The following is a 25,943-nucleotide window of genomic DNA, read 5'->3' on the forward strand; positions in this document are numbered from 1 at the left end:
CCGATTCAAACCAAACTAGGCATAACATTCAAATCTCCTACTATTGAGCTCCAACATACCTCAACTTCATCTCCCACTTATCATATTTCACCCCCATGCTTTTCACATGACCAACTTCGCTACTTCCTAAATCCAGCTCCTCTCATGATTTTCCCTCATGCTGCAACGCTCCACTTCCTTTTTGTCCACATTTTTACTTGTCTTTCAAACAGCTTAAAGGTCATTCCTACTAAGCCTTTCTCTGATTTCCAAGTGTCCCTTTTTCTTACTCCTTTGCACTATTGTGTCAGTTGAACATTTTCACTTATATTATAGCTAATTATGCATATCTATCTCCTGAACTAGATTAGGAAATACTCTTAAGGCAGAAACCAATCCTAAATTTATCTTTAAATCCCGAGATTGGTATAATGCATTACATCCAATAGATACTCAAAAAATGCATTACCAATTCAACAGAGGACAGGCAAGGTTTTGATAGGTGATAATAAATCCAAGTAGACACAGAATCATGTACAATAGCATGCAGGCAGGGACAAGAATAGCTAATGTGTGCAATGTTAAAGCCTGGCTAGAGCAGATGTTGCATTAATGGCAGTGCTTGGAAGGGACCGGATACTCATGTTTATCAATGTGGCTTTGCCCTACTGGCATATGTCTGTTAGGATTATGTGTAAATACTCTCCAGTGCTGTATATTATTATTTTTTGAGACGGAGTCTCACTCTGTCGCCCAGGCTGGAGTGCAGTGGCACAATCTCGGCTCACTGCAAGCTCCGCCTCCCGGGTTCACACCATTCTCCTGCCTCAGCCTCCCGAGTAGCTGGGACTACAGAAGCCCACCACCACACCCGGCTAAGTTTCTGTATTTTCAGTAGAGATGGGGTTTCACCGTGTTAGCCAGGATGGTCTCGATCTCCTGATGTCATGATCCACCCACCTCGGCCTCCCAAAGTGCTGGGATTACAGGCGTGAGCCACCGCACCCGGCCTCCAGTGCTGTATATTTCTAAATAAGCAAAATCTAGGATAGGGAGAATAGAAAATATTCCTTCTCCCCACACCCAAAAGAAACAGATTTTGAAGAAAAGGGAAGAAAGTCAACCCACTAATCACAGAATCTTTATAAGGGTTCTTCACTTTCAAAACAGCAATAAATTTATACTCAGGCTTCCCTCCTACTTTCTTAAAGAATCAACCAGGCTATAGCTCATATATTGAAAGCAAACACATCTGCCAAGGCAAACTCTTGACTGTTTAAATCTGTTTGATGAAGTAAGTAATCTAGAGATCCACCATCTTAGAAACACAGGTCTGGTTCTTGACTCTTTTCAGTAATTTTTGCCTGGCAGGGCAGATCCAAATCCCAGATAGATGCCTTGTAAATGTGTCTGCCATTATATACCTTGATAAGTAGACTGGACATGAGTGAAGGGGACATGGCAACAGTAGATGGATAAATGAAATGGATCCCCTTTATTTCTACATCTCAACAAGAAACTCAATAAATCTTAATATCAAATACGTTAAGGTTTGATTAAAAACTACTACATACCAAACAAAAAAACAGAACAAAACAAAATACTACTATATACCTATAATGCATAGAAAACGTCTTAACATCTTTACAACATGCCCATTAGGAACTACAGATGCAGTATGCTAATGAAAAGTTAAAGTTTTCTTTCCTCTCCCTCCCCTAAACCTGTTCATAGCATATGTGATTTAAAAATATGTTCACAAATTCTTTCCAAACTTCTCCCTTCAAGGGTGGAGCTTAAGTGTGGGCTTAGCGACTTACTAATCCTTCAGATGACTGCAGCCCTAGCCAAGAGCCTGACTGCAACTTCATGAGAGACCTGGACTTTTGACTTACAGAAACTGTGAGATAATGTTTGTTGTTTTAAGTAGCTAAGTTTTGGGATAATTTATTATTCAGCAAATTGGTTATAACCAATATAGCACACAAACCTAGAATCCAAAAGTAGAAATGACTAAAAAAAAAAATGAACATTTTAAATTAACTTTCTTCCCACTCTAACCACACTATTTTCTCAATGGGTTAACACCATCATTTACTCAGTATCTCAAATGAGAAACCCAGAAGCCATACTTTACTCTCCTTACCAACAACAAAACTGAGTTGTCATTTTTTTTTTTTTCCTTATACATCACTTGAGCCCACTCCTATTCTTGCTGCTTTAATTCTGGGCCATTGCCATTTTTCAGTTACTACAACACAGGCTCCCAACATTTCTTCTTTCGCTTCCCAGCTCCATCGCATTCTCTAGACTAATGCCAACAAGAGCCCTTTTCAAATACATATCTGATCATGTCAGTTAATTAACCTTCACTACTGGTTCCCACATTGCACAGGACAAAGTTCAAATGTCTTAGCACAGTGTTTCTGTCCCTATCCTGCAGTTTTCTCTCTCATCTCCCATGTTCATAGCCTATAATCTCTCCAACTTTCACCTTTTCATAGGCTGCTTAGTTTCACTTAGTTTCTTTGTGGAAGACCTTTAATTTTCCCTTATAAATCCTACTATTTTTAAAAGACTCAGCTCAAGTTCTATCTCAGAAAACCTTAACTACCAAGATCTGGTTAGATGACTTGCTTACTTTATCAAAGCACTTATCACATAAAGCAGTATAGTGTCTTCCACTAGAATGTGATCTCCTGAAAAAAAAAATCTTTGATACCTACACATTCATGCATCTAACTAATATCTGCTAAGCAACTACATGACAGGCACTGTATTAGGTGTTTATTACTTAATGGTGAACAAAACAAATATGCCCCTGTCCTTGCAGAGCTTGTAATCTATAAGAAAAGAAAATCAAAGAAACAAATAAATATGGTGAGATCTGAAAAAACAAGGCTATGAGAGAATAACTGTGGGGACCTACTTTGGAGTGCATGGCACATAGTTGCACTCACTTACTGAATTAAACTGTTTTCAAAGAGGTGTGTATAAATTACACCTTCACTGCTGAGGTATAAATGGGCCAGGGTGATCACATCCTTGCTAGCCCTAAGTCTGATTTAAAAAAAAAAAAAAAACTTGCTCATTTTTTGAGATAGGGTCTTGATCTCTCACCCAGGATGGAGTGCAGTGGCACCATCATAGCTCACTGCAGCCTCAAACTCCTAGACTCAAGCGATCCTCCCACCTCAGCTTCCCAAGTAGCTGGGATTACATCCTGCTAAACATATTGTCAGTTACTTCTTGGCTTATAAATTCTCAGTACTAAAAATCAAGAAAAAGAACATAAAGCATATCAAATGTATGTTAAAAAAGGAGGCTTCACTAAGCACAAGCAAAAAACTACCTTTATATATGATGTTATTCAAATACATGGATAAGATAACACATTTTATGATGTAAAAAGTAATATTTAAAAATTAAAAGGCAAGTCTTTCTGGTATTCAGAAGTCTGAAGCAACCACTGTCCAGCTCTTTAAAAAGAGCACATTCCATTCTGGTGCACACAAATGTACATTAAAAATAAAATAAAAAAGTGTAAGAGTACATTTCAAGGGAATCCCTGCCTCTCCCTTGGCTCGCTGGCAAATGATTCACAACCAAAACATTTCTGGGATATGTGACTTAAGGAATAAAAAAACTCAGTGTTTTATAAAAGGGAATGGCAGGATGAGGAAATGATTTATCAAGATACAATTTTACTAATAATTACTTCTCAAATAACTTAAAAATGTTTTATAACAAAAAATCAAAATGAAACAAAACTTGGTAGTTGAATATAAGTATTTTCAACTGTTACAATACTTGAGGAGATTTTTCGGTCTAATTTCTCAGAAATTAGGCCAAAAGAATAGCTATTCTTTACACAGAATAGCTAAAAAATTTCAATGTGAAGCAATTATCTAGGATTACAAAACTTATATTTTACAAATGACATACATAATTTCTGAAAATTTTAGTGTAAGGGTTCTAAAGATTAAACAAGCCTGTCCTGTTTTTTTTTTTCTTTGAGACAGGGTCACACTCTGATACTCAAGCTGAGTTCTGTGGTGCGATCACAACTCACTGTAGCCTTGACTTCTTGGGCTCAAGCAATTCTTCTGCCTCAGCCTTTTGAGTAGCTGGGACTACAGGCACACCCCACCACACCCGGCTAACTTTTTTATTTGTAGAGATGAGGTCTGTGTTGCCCAGACTGGTCTCCAACCCCTGGACTCAAGTGATTCTCCCGCCTCGGCCTTGCGAAGTGCTGGAATTACAGGTGTGAGCCACCACGCCCGGCCCTGTCTGTAGTTTCTTAAGTCCAAATTTGCTACAGCAACATCAGTTGATTATGCCCTTTTCCAAATTCATCTGCAGGCCCGGAAAATTTAAATCAATCAGTATAGATGAGGATAAAAATAGCTTATGCTGGCCAGGCACGGTGGCTTACCCCTGTAATCCCAGCACTTTGGGAGGCCAAGGCAGGCGGATCACAAGGTCAGGAGTTTGAGACCAGCCCGGCCAACATGGTAACACCCTGTCTCTACTAAAAATACAAAAAAAAATTAGCCAAGCCTGGTGGTAGGTGCCTGTAGTCCCAGCTACTCGGGAGGATGAGGCAGGAGAATCGCTTTAATCCAGGAGGTGGATGTTGTGGTGAGCTGAGATCATGCCACTGCACTCCAGCCTGGGCAACAGAGCGAGACTCCATCTCAAAAAAAAAAAAAAGCTTATGCTTTACCACATTAACCTTGTCATCTGGAGCAATGACACTGACTTTTTTTCTGGAAAACATACCTATCTCTTTGCTTTCAGCAGTGTATTTCAACACTCAGCTTGAATCTAGAGATAGAGGCATCTGTCATCAAACATGTTATACCACCAAATTTTTTCTTTTATTAAACAAACTGATGGTTGCCAAACAAGAAGTCAGTAATCTGACTTTTCAGAGGCAGGGAGTTTTTATTTTTGGCTTCTGTAATGGAATTTCACCAAGTTTTTAAAGGTATTAACTTTATTAACCTGTAACATTCATCATTTTAAAGGAGTATATAAAAACTGTCAAAATGGGTCAGAAACAAAGTTTGCGATGCTCATAATCATCTTCAGCAGTGGCAACATTTAACTTTTTGAGTCAGTCGCAACAGACTGGCAATATAACTAACACAATACATAACGATAAGTGTTGTTCTTGATAAAAAACCAAATTATTTTTCTATTTACAATTTTTAGAAAAGGTTTAATGTAAAAATATTTTTCTTCTTTATATATTTCCCTGCCATGATAATGTTAAAACATATCAAGATCCTCCTCAAACTTCAAGGGTGAAAAGCATACCATTCCATTTTAGTTGAAATATTCCTTCACATAGCCAACACATTTTTTCAAGGCACTCTAGCTACTACAGGAAAAATGTTCCTCTTGCCTACTGATTATTTTCCCTCAAACTTATCTAAATTAAACACTGTTATAACTGTTTTTTTAAATTTAGTTTTCCATGGTACAGTCCTCAAGTTATTTTTCTTTTATGTGGAGCCACTCCTTCAGTTTCAACTTGCTGAGCAGGCAAGCAACTGCTTTTGGTTTCCATGGAAACTGGATTCCTGTGGCTGCGTGTAGGCATTCTCGTTCCACCAATCTAAGAGATGAAGCAGAGAACAGAATAGCTTAATGTATCTACAACATACCTATATACAGTCAACTCTGTAGTATTTATACATGTATTAACCACCTTGCAAATAAGCTCTTATATATTTTTCATCTCCAGCTAGCTGGCTGTTTCTAAACAAGTTTTAATCTGACACATTTTTAAGTACTAAACTTTCAAATAACCATCAGAGAAGTTGATAGATCTGAGTAGATGGGGAGCAAAGTGAATGGGGAAACTATTCTCTGTGTTAAATTTATTAGAGGTTGAAAAGATAAATTAGAAATCAAGGGAATGACAGGCCTTATGTGTGATGTGTTTGAAATAATTAAACTGAAGGACAAGAAAAAGGAAGGAGTAATAGGGAGGGAGCGAAAGGAAATACAAGAAGGTCAGAGGTGGTAAACAGGGAGAAGAAATTACATGGACAAACAAGAAAGATAATAAGAAGGGTAGGGAAGATAAGGAAAGAAAATTGAGGAAAGAGATGAAGATTAAGAAAAAGGGAAGTAAAAAAAAAACAGTAAAAGTGTAAGGAAGTTTCAAGACAAGAACCCAAGTAGCAGGGAAATCCTGAAGGGCTGAAAGAGGAGAGCAAGAAAGAAATAAGAAAAGGGGAAGAAAAAACTGGAAGGGGGAATACAGAGGATGGGGGAAGGAACTTTGCTGTGGTTCTACCTTCAAGTCTACCCTTCCTTACCCTCACTTTCTAGCTCACACAGTCAAAGAGAGGTGGTCTATTTTTTTTCTTTTGAGACAGAGTCTCGCTCTGTCACCCAGGCTGGAGGACAGTTGGCGCGATCTCTGCTCACTGCAACCTCCACCTCCTGGGTTCAAGCGATTCTCCTGACTCCAGACTCCTGAGCAGCTGGGATTACAGGTGTGTGTCACCATGCCTGGCTAACTTTTGTATTATTAGTAGAGATGGGGTTTCACCATGTTTAGGCTGGTCTGGAATTCCTGACCTCAAGTGATCTGCCCGCCTCAGCCTCCCACAGTGCTGGGATTATGGGCATGAGCCACCGCGCCCAGCCAAGGTGGTCTATTCTTAATACAGAATCCCTTGCTATGTAGTCATGTTAAAGATGTGATCTATAAAAACAGTAATGGAGAAGGCCAATCTCACAGAGAAGGACCAAAGCTGTATAGCCTGAAACTATTTCCACAGAACCTGCCCATATCTGCCTTTATTTTCCCTGGCCACCTTGTTCTCCTCTATTTCTTCATATCCCGTCCAGTCAATTTCAGGCCTGGGACTGAAGGGTGATAGTGTAACTCCAAGCACTCTCTCTCATAATGCTAGCCCAACAGAAATACTATTGGCATTTGCTCCAAGGGGTTACAGACTCACTGAAAAAGCTCGGACTCTGGCTTCCTTTATTTAATATCTACTGTCCCTTTAAAAAGCATTTTTTTTTATTTACATTTACCTGACCAGAAAGGACAAATTGAGTACAGATTTGTCTGTGTGAATCTGATGAAATTTTGTAATATACTGATTAGAAAAGTGCTGCGACTTTTGGATGATCTATACCACTCCTCACTCAGCTGGTATTTCCTATAAAGGTATATTGACCACACTAATTCTATCTGTTAAAATTTTTGAGAAAAGCAAGCATTTTGAAAACCTCCACTGCAAGACTGTGTGTGTCTGAATGTGTAAAATAAATGTTTATTACAGAAGATGTAGAAAGAAAAAAGGGATAAGTGTGAAGCTGCTGCAAGAAAGACTGGAAGCAGAAGTCAAAAGTAGCCCAGGAAGCAAATGGGACCCTTAAATACAATCTCTACTTGATGCAGTAGGGAGGCAGATGCAGGCTCTACTGGCATATCTCTCAGGGTTAGTACCAAAGGCACTATACAAGGATGAGATCAGAGTTCAAGTGGACTCGTGACTATGGGATCACATTAGAGGCAGAAACGTTTGAACAAATTTTTACACCATGAAAATATGCAGATGATTTCTATTTCATATAGGTCTTACTTCCCTGGTTTCCTGAAAGCTGTCATCTTACCATTGCTGCTAAAACTAGAATCCATATTTGCACTTAGATTGGTTGGGACTAGAAGGCCCAATCCCATGGCCTAGCTAGGAGGTAGGGAAGAAGATGGGGTAATTCCTATCAAACACAGGGCTAGATTGTGGGGAGGTGAGTAGATCACCAAAAACTTTCCACTGGCTTTCAAAAATATATCAAACCAACTATTAGTTATCTAATTGTCCACTGTACCTAATGCTGGGCTCTACAACAACCTGGGCCTGGATAATCTCGTTAAGTATTTGTTCCTGGACTGAATGCATGAAGCACACTCCGTGATACACATGTAATTGAACTGTTGTAATTATGTGGCCAAATTGTGAACATATGGAATTTCTCCTTTTCCAAATACAGTCACATTTTGGTCAAAATGAACTACATATACAACAGTGGTCCCAAAAGATTATAATGGAGCTGAAAAATTTCTATCATCTAGTGATGTCACAGCTGTTACAACATAACAGTGCAATGTATTACCTTGTCTACGTTTAGATATCCAAATACCAGTGTATTACAACGGCATACAGTATTCAGTACAGCAACATGCTGTACAGGTCTGTAGACTACCTAACAGCAATAGGCTATACCATACGGCCTAAGTGTGTAGTAGACTACACCCTCTAGGTTTGTGTAAGTAAGCTTATGGTATTTAAACAAAGACAAAATTGCCTAGTGCTGCATTTCTCAGAATGTATCCCTGTCGTTAAGTGATACATGACTACAAATTGTGTTATTGTACTAAAGCACATTCTAGACATTATTTAAAAAAAATCAAATCATTAAAGTATTTCCAAAGCATAAAGCATTCAACACTATTTTAGTGTCAGTCTATATCAATAAGGAAAGTATATTACTCATTTTTTTAGAAACACCTTGCACACACATAATACATTTTTCCTTTCACTTAAAGTTGTTCAATTCCAAGGTATTAAACTGTTCATTTTCACTAAAAAGGAATAAACCACTCCCACACAGAATTACATGTTATAGGTGAGAGACTATAATCAGTGTTTCTAAATTAAAAGGAAATCATTCTCCTAGAAAAACACAGATCCTTCAAAAATAGTTCTTCAATTATTTTTGAGTTACTTAAGAAAATTTTTCCTTAGGTTATAAAAGTTACTACTTCTAGTAAACTGGAAACAGACAACCAAAACTGAAGATAAAATAGCTTAAAATGCTAACAAGTAACTTTCTCCATTCTTTCACTTGTCCCAACTTAACATTTATATTTTCTTGGCCAAAGCTAAGTAGGAATGTACAAGGAGTTCTCATTTCTAAAAGGATACTCCCAAACAGTAACTTAGAGTGGAGAACTGAAAGACATAAACAAACAACCCTGTTTACTTTAAATTATTTAAAAATCCTCAGTATTTGCATTCCAGCTGTTTCTCATAAGGATTTGAGGACATTTACAGATTAATTCAGTATAGTACAGACAGTGAAAAGGAAGAATACACAAGTGATAGATGCTCTGGGGCAACCATAATGAGAAGATAATGACTCAGACAATAATTCTGACTCAAAGACTTTTGGCAGTAAGTAAGGAAAATATACTGGATCGTGTCCTGAACACATTCAGAGTCATTTGTAGAGAGCAAAACTTTTTTCTTTCCTTTTCTTTTTTTGAGACAGAGTCTCGTTCTGTAGCCCAGGCTGGAGTGCAGTAGAGTGATCTTGGGTCACTGCAACCTCTGCCTCCCAAGTTCAAGCGATTCTCCTGCCTCAGCCTCTCCAGTAGCTGGAAATGATTACAGGTGTGCACCATGATGCCAGGCTAATTTTTGGTAGAGATGGGGTTTCACCATGTTGGTCAGGCTGGTCTCAAACTGCTGACCTCAAATGATCCACCCGCCTTGGCCTCCCAAAGTCCTGGGATTATAGGTGTGAGCCACTGCGCCCAGCCCAGTGCAAAACTTTTCTAACAACTAAACTCGAACTGGAATTTCCTACACAATATACAGAATGAGTGACATAGCAGAGAATAACTCTAGCTATGGGTTTATAAGCTTCAGATAATGTCATTCAACTGTTACTTTTGGCAAGGGTTCTATAAAGAGAGTAATGTTAATTGTAATTCAGTAAATACTGAGTTACATAATACCTAGAAAGACACAATTTAGTCCTTGATACTTTAGGTATATTTTTAATTAGGCACTCTGTTCACAAACTGCTATTACTTCTTTTTCCTCATCCTAATTAACAATGTTTAATTATATCATAATTTTATTACATGTACTCTTCCGCAAATTGCCTAAAATACTTAATGAAATGAAACCCAGTATATATAAATAAAAATTACAAAAAACCCCACAACTTTGCTTTTCATAGGAATATAAGGGTTTAACTACATGGATGCCTTACCCATACACCCACTGTGCAAGCTAAGAGAGTTTTCTTTAGTTGACTTATAAATCTTGCAAAAATAAAAAAGTTCCACTACCACGAAGACTGGACTCACCATGGCATACAACTTTATCCTTCCTATGGATATAGCTTTTAGAATGGTGCTGTGATTAATATGACAATGAGAACATCAGGGTGAAATACGGTAAAGTCAGTGAAATAGACGAATAATAAACAACCTAATGAACCTTTAATTTCAAAAAAGATCTTACCTTTTGTTGTGTTGTGGTATCCAGTGATTTCGGTGGAAAAGTACAAGGTATTCTTCCATGATGGATATGATATGGTAATAACAGGCTGGGATCTAATGGGACCCAGGGAACTGAGAGACTGGAAGGTACACCAGGAAGGCCGCAATGTGTTTTATACAAATTGTATGCTGTCCTAGTAACTTTTCCATCAGAGGCCTTATAAATCAGGAGTGAAGAATCTTCTGCTGCATGAGATAACAAGTAGGAACCCTCCTGCAAGCTAAATTCACACAATGAAACTCAACCCACTGGCTCACTGTGTCAATTTCAACATCACTTTCTTAATCATAATCTATTAGTAAAATTGAAAATTATGAGAAGATCACACCACCTCTAAAAATACTTTTATGACAAAATAAGATTTAAGAAATCTTTAAAACTATTTTTATGCTTTTTAGGCAACTAATTTTAATTCTTATTCCAAAGTTCAGAATAGTTGATCATTTTCTTTTTACTTTTATAGCAATTCGTAAGTTTTCATTTAATGGGAAACAAACAGTGTGCCTAATTCTCTAATCCATAGATTAGATATTTATAGGTATCTATACTGAAAAGCATTCCTACAGCATTTTCATTCATTTAACACTGCAACTATTTTGTACCTAATAATAGATAGATGACTAGATACAAAAGTGAAGGTGATATGTTTGCTACACTGAGTAGTTTAAAATAAAGTGGAAGAAACAGTCAATGGAACAATCACAGTACAACATGAGGTGCTATGAGGATAACAGAAACAATAGCAGCTAGCAGGTATTAAATGTTTATTATGAGCTAACTACTGTATTATGGCTTCAAATTTATTTTCTATTAGATCTTCCACAATAAACCTTCAAGGCATATTAATTTAGGGTGATAAATAAACAAATTAGAGATGCTAAGCAATTTGCCCAAAGTTGTGAGTGTAGGCTTAGATATAAACCCAGGCATTTGAACTCCACAGGCCATACCCTTAATCACGATCCTCTACTGTAGCAATAACAAACTATGTTGAACATCAAATCCACATTTTTCCTTTCTCCTTATAAAGTTTTAAATAATTCAATGTATCATCTTAAAGAACTAAAGGGATATGAATAAATATATTGTGCTTTCTTAGGATTACACAGTCCTCTGGATCAAAGATGTTAAGGAGAACATCGGTTCTTTACAATATATTATGAAAAAATAAAGATTTATCATACTTTAGCTATACAGATTTGCCTATAAACCTAATCGGTTACATTTTCATCAATTTTTAAACTGAAAATAGGTGTTGACAATTGCTCTTATCCTCTGGAAATTTTTTTTCCCAATCATTTTCATATTTCCATATAAAGAAATGAATTATTATGATAGTAGGAATAAATAACATTTCAAAGATTGAGTTTTAATCAATGAAAATCATATATCTTAACTACTTCCACTAAAAATGGAGAAAGCTTTCATTTACAGAAGAATATATTAATATTTAATTCATGGAGAATGAGAGATACTCTAAGGAGGAGTATCTTACAAGTGCTGTACATGTCTAATGTACATAGATGAATATAAGCTATGGTAGACAGAATAGTGGCCTCCTAGAAATGTTTATGTTCCAAACCTGGAACCTATGAATATGTTACATGGCCAAAGGGAATTAAGGTAGCAGATGGAATTAAGGTTGCTAATCAACTGATTTTAAAATGATCAAATTTTACTAATCACAAGAGCCCTTAAATACAGAAGAAGAAGGCAGAAGAGACTCAAAGGGAGATGCGACTGTACAACTCCAGAGAGATGCGACTTAACTTGGCGTTGTAACTTTGAAGATGGAGGAAGGGAGCTACAAGCCAAGGGATGCAGGTGGCCTCTAGAAGCTACAAAAGGCAAGGACTAGATCCTTCCCAGAGCCTACAGAAAGGAATGTAGCTTTGCCAATGCCCTGATTTTAACTCAGTGAACCCTGTTAGACCTCTGACTTGAGAACTGTAAAATAATAAATTTGTGTTGTTTTATAATCTTAATTTGTTACAGCCACAATATAAAGCTAACACACAAACTAAATAAAATATTGATAATAAAATTTCAAAAAACATCTGGCAAATTTCATGCATAAGCTTTGTATATAGCATGAAGAACAGAATATATAAAATAAAAATCCTGTCACATAATCACAGAATATCAGAACTGAAAAGTACCTAGGAAGTTATTGCACTTGACACCATCATTTTACAAATAAGGAAAATGACATCAAGTTAGATAATAGAATTCTTCAGAACTAGAGCTTTGAGATTTTGACTGTAAGTTCGTTTTCAAGTTTAACATTTGGTAAGGGCATAAGAGAAGGAATGCAAACATTCATATAACAAAACAGTTTGGCAAATCATCAGGGGGAAAATCCATATCCTAAGACTTGCCATGGATCTAAATGACTGTTCATTTAGCTCTATGTTCTTTTTTTTTCTAGAGGAAGTCTCACTCTGTCGCCCAGGCTGGAGTGCAGTGGCACATCTCAGCTTTGCAATCTCTGCCTCCCGGGTTCAAGCGATTCTGCTGCCTCAGCCTCCTGAGTAGGTGGGATTACAGGTGCACGCCACAAAACCCAGCTAATTTTTTTGTATTTTTAGTAGAGACGGGGTTTCACCATGTTGGCCAGGATGGTCTCCATCTCCTGACCTCATGATCCGCCTACCTCGGCCTCCCAAAGTGCTGGGATTACAGGCGTGAGCCACTGCGCCCGGCCTCTATGTTCTTCTTTTTTTTTTTTAATCTTGAAAGTGAAAATAATATAGCTATGGTGGGCTGAATAATGGTCTCCCACCATGATGTCCTTATGCTAATCACCAGAACCTGTGACTGTATTATATTTAATCGTTTTGCAGGTGTGATTAAATTAAGGATTTTGAGATGAGGGGATTATCCCAAATTATGTGAGAAGGCCCAAAGTAATCACCAGGAACCTTATAAAAGGGAGGCAGAGGAAGATATTACCACAAAAGGAGAGAAGGCAATGTGATGCGACGCAGAGATCCAAGTGACATGCCCTGAGAATGGAGGAAAGAGCCACAAGTCAACGAATACAGGTGGTCACTAGAAACTGACAAAGGTAAAGAAATGATTCTTTCCTTAGTCTCCAGAAAGGACCACTCCTGCTGACACCTTGACTTTTACCCGGTAAAACTGATTTTGGATTTCTGAACTCCAGAACTAAAAAGAGAATCAATCTGTTTTGTTTCAAGCCACCAAGTTAGTGGCAATGTGTTACAGCTGCAATAGAAAAATAACATAATAATAGACTTACAGGAAAATGTACTTGCAAGCTCATTAAAGCCAGATACTAAATTACTTTATATTTTTACAATATAAATGTTTACATTTGACATAATAATTTTTGCATTTCTAGGTTATTTTGTCTCTATTCCTAACAGTACATTTTCAAAGTTTCTAAGAATTTTCATCTAAGAAAATCAGATGTATCAAAGCAAAATGCCTAAAAAATACTTACCTACTTAGTTTCTTTAGAATGTGTTGGAGGATGTTAAATAAATTGGAAATCCTGATAAACAAAAGAAATTCATGTAAAATTAAACTGCAAAAAACTTACTTTTAGCAATTATAGCTCCTCAGGCAGAGAAATGCCCTCAATAACAACAACAAAAACAGCGGATGAGATAATGTAATACAAAAAATCTGAAACTTATTTCTATTTGGATTAAATTATGATATTTACTTAATTTTTTAAAAAAAATTTCCTTTTTTTTTTTTTTTTTTTTGAGATGGAGTCCTGCTCTGTTGCCCAGGCTGGAGTGAGTGCAGTGGCGCAATCTCTGCTCGCTGCAACCTCCACCTCCCGGATTCAAGTGATTCTCTTGCCTCAGCCTCTCAAATAGCTGGGACTACAGGCATGCGCCACCACACCAGGCTGATTTTTTTGTATTTTTGGTAGAGACAGGGTTTCACCATGTTGGCCAGGCTGGTCTTGAATTCCTGACCTCAGGTGATCCACCCGCCTCGGCCTCCCAAAGTGCTGGGATTACAGGCATGAGGCATGGGGTCGGGCCAATTTTTGCCATTTCATGATTTCCTTTCATTATCATAATGTATTTGGCTTTTTGTGAGTCAGAGCAGTTGTAAAGAGATCACTATTTTATGTTCAAATTATATACTTAAAAAAAAAACGCTGGCCGGGTGCAGTGGCTCACGCCTGTAATCCCAGCACTCTGGGAGGCCAAGACGGGCAGATCACAAGGTCAGGAGATGGAGACCATCCTGGCTAACACAGTGAAACCTCATCTCTACTAAAAATACAAAAAATTAGCCAGGCGTGGTGGCGGGCATCTGTAGTCCCAGCTACTGGGGAGGCTGAGGCAGGAGAATGGCACGAGCCCGGGAGGCGGAGCTTGCAGTGAGCCGAGATGGCGTTACTGCACTCCGGCCTGGGCAACAGACCAAGAATCCGCCTCAAAAAACCAAAACCAAAACCAAAACCAAACAAACAAAATGCTAAGAGGTCTTTAGTAAAGCTAATATGCCGAAGAGTTTGTCTTTCAGAGATGGTGGTGAATGAGCTTCCAAAAAAATTGATAGGTACGTTAAACCTGTGATGACAGAGAAGCCACTCACTCGGGACAGGATAGCTAAAGGGAAATAAAACACAGGTTTTTTTTTTTTTTTGAGACAGAGTCTCGCTCTGTCGCCCAGGCTGGAGCGCCAGGCTGGAGCGATCTTGGCTCACTGCAAGCTCTGCCTCCCGGGTTCACGCCATTCTCCTGCCTCAGCCTCCAGAGTAGCTGGGACTACAGGTGCCCGCCACCACGCCCGGCTAAGTTTTTGTAATTTTAGTAGAGATGGGGTTTCACCGTGTTAGCCAGGATGGTCTCATCTCCTGACCTCATGATCCACCCGCCTCAGCTTCCCAAAGTGCTGGGATTACAGGCATGAGCTACCGCACCCGGCCAAATCAGGTATTTAAAAAATTTCTTTAGTAGTTCTTCTAGACCTAAAGTCCGTCTGTCCATCCTTCCTTTCTTCCTTTTCTTCTCTCTCTCTCTCTCCCTCCCTCTCTTTATTTTTATTTTTTTGAGATGAGTCTTGCTCTTTTTGCCCAGGTTGAAGTGCGGTGGCACGATCTCGGCTCACTGCAACCTCCGCTCCTGGGTTCAAGCGATTCTCCTGCCTCAGCCACCCGAGTAGCTGGAATTGCAGGTGCCCACCACCACACTTGACTAATTTTTGTATTTTTAGTAGAGATGGGGTTTCACCATGTTGGCCAGGCTGGTCTCGAACTCCTGACCTCAAGTGATCCACCTGCCACAGCCTCCCAAAGTGTGGGGATTACAGGCATGAGCCACTGAGCCTGACCTCCTCCTTTTTTTTAAAAAAAAAAAATGTTTTTCAATGAGAAAAGCGAGGCAGGTGGAGAGTAGGGTAGGGAAAAGCTTTTCTATTCACATATGTAAAAAAAAAGTTACTGTTCAAGAGAAGCAGTCCTTGTAACAGAAGCAGACATACTGAAGTACAAGCACAGAGTTCAAATTTAGATCTGGGACCCTTAAAAAACAATGTCAAGCCTGGAACTATGCGGCTAGTAGAAGTCAGAACCATTTCTTACCCTAAGTGGGAATCAAACATATTAACTACCAAGGCTGCAACTAGCTTAGCTGTGTGCTCTAGGGCATACCACTCTAATATTTCCTCATATAAAAAATGGAGATAATACTACCACCAGCCTTTCCTAGAAGTTGTGAGATGAAAATGGGATAATAATATTCATAAATTATTTTGCTTTGCATTTAGACATTTAGAGTTCTGAGTACGATAAATTCATTTCAGTCACGTGTATAATGATGCTTGGTAGAAGGGCAAACTGAGAAGTTAGACTCTCAGAGTTTTTGACTGTACTATCCTTTCCCTTTCCTGTAATGGAGTAAAACGTTTGCTTCCCATGCACGGCGGCTACTTTGGCTCTAGCCTCCCTTAAGTAAAAAGGCTGGTGCCACTGGCATTATATTTAATTTGGAGATGGAGATAATATAAACGGATCACAAATTGGGTCTGTGCTCCATCAATGGATGAATGAATAAAATGTGATTACACACACACACACACACACACACACACACACACACACACACACACAATGGAATATATTCAGCCATAAAAGAAATGAAATTCTGTTATTTGCATCGTGGATAGAACTGGAAGTCATTATGTTAAATAAATCAGGCACAGAAAGACAAATATTGCATGCTTTCAATCATATGTAGAAGCTAAAAAAGTGGATCTCATGGAGCATGGAGATACAGAATAGCGGTTACAAGAGGCTGGGAAGGAAATGGATGGGAGAAATGAGAAGCTGGTTAAGGGATTAGACAGGAGGTATAACTTCTAGTATTCAATACCATAGTAGAGAAATTACAGTTCATCATAATTTACTGTATATGTCCAAATAGCTAGAAGGGAAGAATTATAATGTTCCTAACACAAAGATAAATGTTTGAGGTGAAGGATATTTCATTTATCTTGATTTGGTCATTACACACTGTATATGGGTATTAAAATATCACATGTAGGAGCCGGGTGCAGTGGCTCACGCCTGTAATCTCAGCACTTGGGAGGCCGAGGCGGGTGGATCACGAGGTCAGGAGATGAGACCATCCTGGCTAACACGGTGAAACCCCATCTCTACTAAAAATACAAAAACTTAGCTGGGTGTGGTGGCGGGCACCTGTAGTCCCAGCTACTCTGGAGGCTGAGGCAGGAGAATGGCATGAACCCGGGAGGCAGAACTTGCAGTGAGCCGAGATCACGCCACTGCACTCCAGCCTGGGCAACAGAGCGAGACTCCGTCTCAAAAAACAAAACAAAACAAAACAAAAATCACATGTAGGGCCAGGCGCAGTGGCTCACACCTGTAATCCCAGCACTTTGGGAGGCCGAGGCAGGAGGATCACCCGAGGTCGGGAGTTTGAGACCAGCCTAACCAATATGGAGAAACCCTGTCTCTATTAAAAATACAAAATTAGCCAGGCGTGGTGGCGCATGCCTGTAATCCCAGCTACTCAGGAGGCTGAGGCAGGAGAATCGCTTGAACCCAGGAGGTGGAGGCTGCAGTGAACTGAGATCACACCACTGCACTCTAGCCTGGGCAAAAAGAGCAAAACTCTGTCTCAAAAAAAAAAAAAAAAATCACATGTACCCCAAAATACGTATAACCGTCATCTACCACTAAACAAAGAAAAACAAAACAAACAGTACATACTGCTGGCCAGGCATGGTGGTTCATGCCTGTAATCCCAGCATTTTGGGAGGCTGAGGCAGGCACATTGCTTGAGTCCAGGGGTTTGAGACCAGCCCAGGCAACATAGTGAAACCCCGTCTCCACAAAAAATACAAAAATGAGCTGGGCATGCTGGTGCACACCTGTAGTCCCTACTTGGGAGGCTGAGGTGGGAGGATCCCTTGAACCGGGGAGGCAGAGGTTGCAGTGAGCCGAGATCACACCACTGCACTCCAGCCTGGGTGACAGAACGAGACTGTCTCAAACACACAAAGAACAAAAAAAAAGACAAAACAAAACTGAGTCCAATGAGACCTCTATACATAAAAAGACTAAAAGTCTTGAAAATAATTTAAGCTTAAACAATATTTAAAGAAAAATTAATGATCACATTAACAAATTTTTCAATTCTCACCACAAAGTAAACTTTCTTACTTGAGTGCTGAAAGCTTTTCTTTTAATTCTTCTGAGGTAATTTCTTCCAGTAGAAAAAGTTTTGAAGTAAATGCATCGATATGCCCTAAAATAAAATATCAAACTTAGAAAGAAGAAGCAATTGCAGTATTTAGAAAAAAAAAAAACCAAGTTATCCTGTCTCCTTAAAGATTACAAATTTTAATAACTGTGAAGAAATTTTACATTTTAAAAGGAGAAATACACATTTTATTAAGTCTTAAGTAAAGCTATATTTTAAAATAACATAATTCAGATTATAAAACATTTATATTCATTCTAAAATATTTGCTGAATATATGTTTACACATGTCCACACATACGAAATCATTTCAAAGCCTACAATTTATGAACAACAACTATTAAAATACTGGTGTTTCTAATTCCTATTAAAGTTACATTTAATTAGCCAGGCGTAGTGGCGGGCGCCTGTAGTCCCATCTACTCGGAAGGCTGAGGCAGGAGAATGGCGTTAACCCGGGAGGCAGAGCTTGCAGCAGTGAGCTGAGACTGCACCACTGTACTCCAGCCTGGGTGGTGACAGAGCCAGACTCTGTCTCAAAAAAAAAAAAAAAAAAAAGAAAGTTACATTTGCATGGCGTTTATGAGGAGAATTATCATAATTATGATATTTATGTATTATCATAATATGTATTTTTATGTTAATACATATTAACATAATTTGAATTATGTTGATAATTATGTATTATCAAAATAAGCAGATAAAATCAAATGTACAGGGGCTAAGACACACTTGGCTCTTAAGGTAAAAATTAGATTATGAAAATCTGGCTTAATATTTTTTAATTAGACTGGGTGTGGTGGCTCACGCCTGAAATCCCCGCACTTTGGGAGGCCGAGGCGGGCAGATCACCTGAGGTCAGGAGTTCAAGACCAGCCTGGCCAACATGGTGAAACCTCGTCTCTACTAAAAACATAAAAAAATTAGCCAGGCATGGTGGTGGGCACCTGTAATCCCACCTACTTGGGAGGCTGAGGCAGGATAATTGTTTGAACCCAGGAGATGGAGGTTGCAGTGAGCCGATACAGTGCTACAGCACTCCAGCCTGGGTGACAGAGTAAGACTCCGTCTCAAAAAATATATATATATATTTATTAAAGCACACCATAAGATTTCCCAAAGTTAAAAAAAAAATCAAAGCAGTCAGTTCCAAGTTTTACTTTTTTTTTGAGACAAAGTTTCGCTCTTGTTGCCCAGGCTGGAGTGCAGTAGCATGATCTTGGCTCACTGCAACTTCTGCCTCCTCAGTTCAAGCGATCCTGCCTCAGCCTGCCGAGTAGATGGGATTACAGGTGCCCACCACCAGGCCTGGCTAATTTTTTGTATTTTTAGTAGAGACTGGGTTTCATCATGTTGGCGAGGCTGGTCTCGAACTCCTGACGTCAGGTGATCCACCTGCCTCAGCCTCCCAAAGTGCTGAGATTACAGGTGTGAGCCACTGAGCCCGGCTGAAGTCTTATTTTTATTTATTTATTTATTTATTTTTTAAGACAGAGTCTTGCTCTGTCTCCTGGGCTGGAGTGCAGCAGCGAGATCCTGGCTCACTGTAACCTCCACCTCCGGGGTTCAAGCTATTCTTGTGCCTTAGCCTCCTGAGTAGCTAAGACTATAGTTGTGTGCCACCACTCCCAGCTATCTTTTTTTTTTTTTGGTATTTTTGGTACAGATGGAGTTTCATCATGTTGGCCAGGCTGGTCTCGAACTACTGGCCTCAAGCAATCCACCTGCCTTGGACTCCCAAAGTGCTAAGATTACAGGTGTGAGTAACGGCACCCGGCTCCGATTCTTACTTTTTTCACAAACACAATATGAATCTAGAATTCCAAAAAACAAAACAGCAAATTCTCAATATGATGCTTTTGTTATAACAAGTAATGCGTATGTTCTAAAACAAAACAGGTTGAGAGCTAACACCAAGGTCCTGAAATATACCAAGGAAGAGTGACATAAAAGAGTCCTGGGTTAAATGTTATATAAGTCAACACAAAAATCGTATGTATTGTACCATAGTTAAAAACATCAACTAGCATGATGAGAATATAAGACGTATCAATGTTGAAGACAAATTGTTTTTATTTTTTTAACTCCTAATATTTAGGTATCAAAACAAATTACCTGGAAAGCTGATGTCAATCACTGGGACAATTAAAAATGCACATAATTTAATGTTTCATTTTCTTACCAAGCCCCCTTTCATTTGCTTTATGCTCATACAAATAATTAGAAACATTTTTACCAGATGGCTTCCTTCTAAGACACCAAATTCATTTGTACCCATACCTACTTATTATATGTAACACTCATTACACAGTGGCATTTCTAATAACAAAGACATATCGTAATGATTTAAAAACCATAGAAAGGAAATACTAAGCATAATAACTTTTAGATGTTTACTAATTATGTCTTTGAGAAGACTAATAGTTCTTACCTTTTGAAAGAAATTCATTTAAAAAAGTTTTATAGTATATGTCAAATATGGTCTGTCAAAAATAACTATACAGAGAATACCATACTAAGTGCTCTGAGGATCTACCTACTCAAGGAGTTCACAACTCTCTCAACATTGGAGCTTTCTAACCTGTGGGCCTCAAATAAGATATATATGTGCTTAAGATACTCATCACCTCAGCCCTTCAGGCAGCTCAGCAATGCTTGGGATGGCAAAAGCTTCCTGGCTATTGCCCTTCAGCCACAAGCAATCTCTCTTATATATCACAGTGTGCTGTACAAATATTTATGTGCATCAAGGTTGGAAAGCACTGATTTATAGAGGACAAATAAAATCTATACATAATAAAAATAAAGCTTTTATATACAAGCGTTCATTCATATATATATGCACATAAACATATACATGCATACATGCATTCATATGTGTATAGGTAGGTACTCCTTGCTTTGCATGCAGTGTGAGGACCATAAAAATGCCTATACAGGCTGAAACCCTACAATTGTAACAATCAATAGGGAAAATTACAACTGTTTGGTTACCTTTAAAATTTTTATCAAAACACTATAAATTCTCTATCAATCATAAATGTATAGGAAAACGAAAAGAACAGTAAAATATTTTAGTACACTGTAATCCAAAAAATTAAAGTGTTTTCTTCATGAAACGTTAATGAAGAGCAGTTTGAACAGTGCTTGTTACCTTCTTGCACAATTTGTCATAGGAAGGATGCATCTTTTCTTTTTCTTTTTTTTCTTTTTTTTGAGACAGGGTCTCACTCTGTCGGCCAGGTTGGAGTGCAGTGCTGCGATCTTGGCTCACTGCAACCTCCGCCTCCCAGGCTCTTGCGATTCTCCTGCCTCAGTCTCCTGAGTAGCTGGGACTACAGGCGCATGCGACTACTGCCCAGCTAATTTTTTACATTTTAAGTAGAGACAGGGTTTCACCATGTTGGCCAGGCTGGTCTTGAACTCCTGACCTCAAATGATCCACCCACCTCGGCCTCCCAAAGTGCTGGGATTAGAAGCTTGAGGCACCGTACCTGGCCGGATACATCTTTTCTATGCCATGGTGAACCGTTATATTCCTAAGGATCAGCTTCTGACACTGTATCCTTGGTGCCTTCAATGTCATGAAATTATCTTCAGGATTTGTTTACTGTAAAATCTTATGCCAGTGTCACTTGTTCATCCTTTATGTCACAATGCTTTCACTAAGTTTGTCTGGCAGCAAATCTAGAGTCACTGGAACAACAGCAGTGCCAACATTCCCACTCTTTGCTATTTCCTCTGTAATTCCATTTATGTTCCATTCAAATTTCACTTCTGGCAGTATCACCTTTTGTTTCTTTGCTTTGCTTTAATATTTTTTGGTCAATTCTTTTGATTATCTACTTTGGTAAAATATCACATGGGTTTATCACCGGGAGACAAAGAGTCAACACAACTGCACACTCTGCTTTCTGTGCATGAACTCAATGGGTACACAATAAACAATTATAAACAGACTTTGAAAGAAGTGACATGACTGGTCACTGATCATGATTTGCCTGTTACTTATGTAGTGATCTGTGGACTGAAGAGCCAGCAGTGAAGCTTATACTTTATACAATTACTCACTGTTAATACACGGTCATAACTAAAACTTGTGCTTATTGAAACTGTGTGCTAAGTGAGGACTGCCTATATATCAACTATATAGAATTGATAAATATTATAGGGTTGGAGGGTGAATACGGAAGTTGCAATGAGACTATGTGGGAAACTGTCTTAAAGGAGTAAATCTTCAAGTTTTTATGGGGAAAAGATAAAAAGAGTACTGCAACTAGGGAAAGTGGGGAACATGTTTATAGCAAAGCAGAGCAAACAAACAAATCACAAGTGTGTTGATTCTACTGAAAAAAGAGACTATAAGCTATAGAATTGATTCTCAAAGTGTGGTCCCTAAACTAGCAGCATCAGTACGACCTGAGAAAGTCTTAGGTCCCAATACAGACCTAGTGAATCAGACACTCCAGGGTGGGGCCAGCAATCTCCACTTTTAAAAGCACTTCAAGTGATTTTCTTGAACATCTTCCTTAAATTAAAAGAGTATTATAACATTTTTAAAAACTCAAAAACTCAGATGTTATCCCCCCATACCTACACCCCACCAAAAAACCCCGAACAAACCAAAATCCCACAACCATACAATATATGCTTTTCACCAAACACTTGTCACAGAAGCCAAAAATACTATCCCAGTACAATGAAATGAAAGGCTCACAAGAGGATAGGATTCACAGAGAATAATCAGCAGTTAGGATTACTTAGGATTTTACAAAATAATTAAAATGAAGTAATCCATACAGTTGATGTTGAACTGTACATTTAAAAACTGAAACCTTAATTTTTTTTTTTGTCATGAATCTCCATTCTCTGTCAGTACTTTAAACAAAATTTCACTCGTAAGTTTTTAACTGGGCCTTTTCTAAAATGGATGTGGCTGGCAAATTGCATTCAAGTAGCTAATGTTGAGATTGTTGGTGTGAGGTCTTTGGAGGAACATTGAAATTTTGGTTACAGAATGAAAATTACTACAAAAACTTCGAGTATGTGTATGAAGGAGGAGGAGGCAGGCAGTACATCACCAATTAGTGCATTTAGCTACTTCCTTTTTTGAGTTAAGCAGAAAGAATCAATTATCTACTTAATACTCTCATAAAACATGAAAACAAAATACTGATTAACCAAAACAGGAAAAAACATTTTAAGTGAATAACCTTTCTTTGATTAAGAAACACACCCTCATAGGATTTATTACATACAAGCAATCAAGCTATGCAGTATAACACAAAATTTTATTAGACTCAACACAGAATTTTATCAGACTCTGACCTTAAGCTGTTTATTGTCTAACAGGAAGAAGGGATAGGTGTTAAGAGAGAATAAAGTACAAAGTAACAAGTCAGAGAAGTAAAAGACTGCACTAAGAGATCAAAGAAAGCAAAAGACTACACAGAGGAGCAGTCTGAGATGATTAGAAAGGATTGAGATTTATGGGATGCATTGAGATGTTCGATATTGGACATTCCAGTGGGAGGAAATACTACCAATAATGACTAGCAAGTAATCTATTATGTGAGGATGTTAACTGTACATGAAATGAGCCAATGCAAATTGAACTTCAGCCTAATCCCCATACCCCAGCAGAACAACAAAAACAAAGGAAAAAGTCATTTCATCAAAATATTTGAGGTTTTAAAAGTAGTGTCATTATAAGAAAATTTCAAAATAAATATATAGGTCAATAAATAGTTAACCAATTAAACAGTACTCTAAGAAGCTAGAAAACAAATGTGTATTTTTGATTATACTATTAAATAAGTGTTTCTAAAATAGGTCAGCATGGTAGGTCATCCCTGTAATACCAGAGCTTTTGGAGGCTAAGGTAGGAGGATTGCTTGAGGCTAGAAGTTCAAGACCAGTCTGGCAATATAATGAGACCCCATCTCAAGAAAAAACAAAAAATTAGCTGGGCATGGTAGCACATGCCTGCAGCCCCAGCTACTTGGAAGGCTGCAGTGGGAGGATCACTTGAGGCCAGGAGTTTGAGGTTACAGTGAGCTATGATCACATGACTATACTCCAGCCTGGGCAACAGAATGAGACCCTAAAACTAATAAATACATAAATAAAAACGAAAGTAAAAAAGGGCAGAATAGAAGTATTCACAATTGAATTTACAAGTATGTAATTACAAGAAAATTAAAAAGGAGAATAAAGACTTTTGTATAACTTACCAACATAAAATGAGCTGTTGGAATGCAATAAACTTTCAGTCCATAAGCGACAAAGTTCACTTTCAGTCAGAGCTTCAACTCCATAACAAGCTTGATACTCTACTTTTGGTAGTACATAAACTGGAAATTGCTGCAATGCAAAATTATACTTTTTCAAAGCTCTATTAATTTACTATTAATAGCAAATACATTTGCCTATACAGCTTTGCCACTTTCAAAATGCTTTCAGGTAATCTTATTTCATCCTTTCAATTACAGCAGGATTCACACTGTAAGATGGATACATTCAGGCCTGATGAATAGAAGAATGTTTGGTGCCAAAAGGTGGATGGATGAAAGAGATCTCTCCTCACCATTCCCATTTGTGACCAAAATCAACATACCTCCCCACATAGGCAAGGTTTGATTTTGGTCAGGGAATGTGACTGACAGCAGACTCCTTGCAACAAAGCCTATCATACATAGTTGCCCAAAGGCTCAAAGCCAGATGCTGGGAAGCACTGACTTTTTTATATACTAGTCATTTTCAAGAGGATAAAAAAGGTAGAATTTTTTTCTCCTTTAAAGCATGAGTCACATTGTCTTAGGCTCAAATACTCTGAGCAGCTCGTTTCATTCTACAAATGAAAGAGCACTAATGCCTACATTAACACCTGTTTGTCATTATCTTCAATTTAACGGCTTTATTTCAGACACGAAGTATCTGACAAATTATCCATCCAAATTCACTGGTCAGGACACTACATAAGTAAAATGACTGTACCTATTACTGGCCTAAGGGAGCGTAAGCAAAGAAATACATGTTGTTCACTGTGCTTATGCTATCTCATTATCTTCAAAGAAAACTCTACTCTTAACAGGAGTCTATTTCCAGTTGCAGAAAGAGAAACACATGATTTAAGGTACTTAACTTGAACTTATAAGGCTAATTAGTACTTCTGACATTATACTGTGTCACCATTTACAGATTTGAAAATATTTCATCAGTATTTCTTAATTCTTGATTTTTACAAAGTGGCAAAGAGTGGGCTTGGTACAATGGTGGTGGTAAGAACAATTCAAATCCACTAATATTTTTCTTATCAACAGTAAGTGCTGTTTCATGTGATTTGCCCTTGAACTACGTGCATGTGAGAAATCTGGTGATCTTGTTAAAATGTAGAATCTGGGGTGGAGCCCAAGATTTTACATTAATAACAAGCTATTGTTCCAGGGACCATACTTTCAGTAGGTAAGGCCTCCAGTGTGTCTTCTCAATTAAAAACAAAATTAAATGTGATTAGGATTTTACCAATAAAGCATTTTACTATGTAATTTTGCAAATGGTTATCTGCATATGATTTAGTCTCTCATAACTTCAGAGCAAATAGGAGGTCGAGATAAAGAAATTTGCTCAGGCTGGGTGCAGTGGCTCATGCCTATAATCCCAGCATTTTGGGAGGCTGAGGTGGGAAGATTACTTAAGGCCAGGAGTTCAGGATTAGCCTGGATGAAACAGCAAGACCCTGCCTCTACAAAAAATTAAAAAAAAAAAAAATTAGCTGGGCATGGGGCACATGCTTACAGTTCTAGTTACTCAGGAGGCTGAGGTGGGAGGATCACTTGAGCCCAGAAGTTCAAGGAAGCAGTAAGCTATGATCGTGCTACTGCACTCCTGCCTGGGCAACACAGCAAGACTCTTGTCT

The 25,943-nt window shown here is 38.3% G+C and overlaps 1 protein-coding gene across 11 annotated transcripts in view; it reads right to left on the reverse strand.

The window, feature by feature from the left end:
* ICE2 (interactor of little elongation complex ELL subunit 2) overlaps positions 1,452 to 25,943 on the reverse strand; it is a 59,534-nt gene continuing 35,042 nt past the window's right edge. For 5 of the 11 annotated variants that reach the window (XM_011522009.3, NM_001018089.3, NM_024611.6 and 2 more), the window contains 5 exons: positions 24,259 to 24,388; positions 17,986 to 18,070; positions 13,777 to 13,827; positions 10,272 to 10,530; positions 1,452 to 5,605 (listed from right to left, as the gene is read on the reverse strand). In XM_011522009.3, coding sequence (XP_011520311.1) covers positions 5,477 to 5,605; positions 10,272 to 10,530; positions 13,777 to 13,827; positions 17,986 to 18,070; positions 24,259 to 24,388 — 654 coding nt within the window. In that variant the 3' untranslated portion in view covers positions 1,452 to 5,476. Of the gene's footprint in view, positions 5,606 to 10,271; positions 10,531 to 13,262; positions 13,316 to 13,776; positions 13,828 to 17,985; positions 18,071 to 22,473; positions 22,554 to 24,258; positions 24,389 to 25,943 lie in introns of those variants that run through there. The other 6 variants (XM_047433028.1, XM_047433027.1, XM_047433031.1 and 3 more) reach the window with 4 other exon arrangements.

Source organism: Homo sapiens, chromosome 15 (assembly GCF_000001405.40).
Source record: "Homo sapiens chromosome 15, GRCh38.p14 Primary Assembly".
Lineage (NCBI taxonomy): Eukaryota > Metazoa > Chordata > Mammalia > Primates > Hominidae > Homo > Homo sapiens.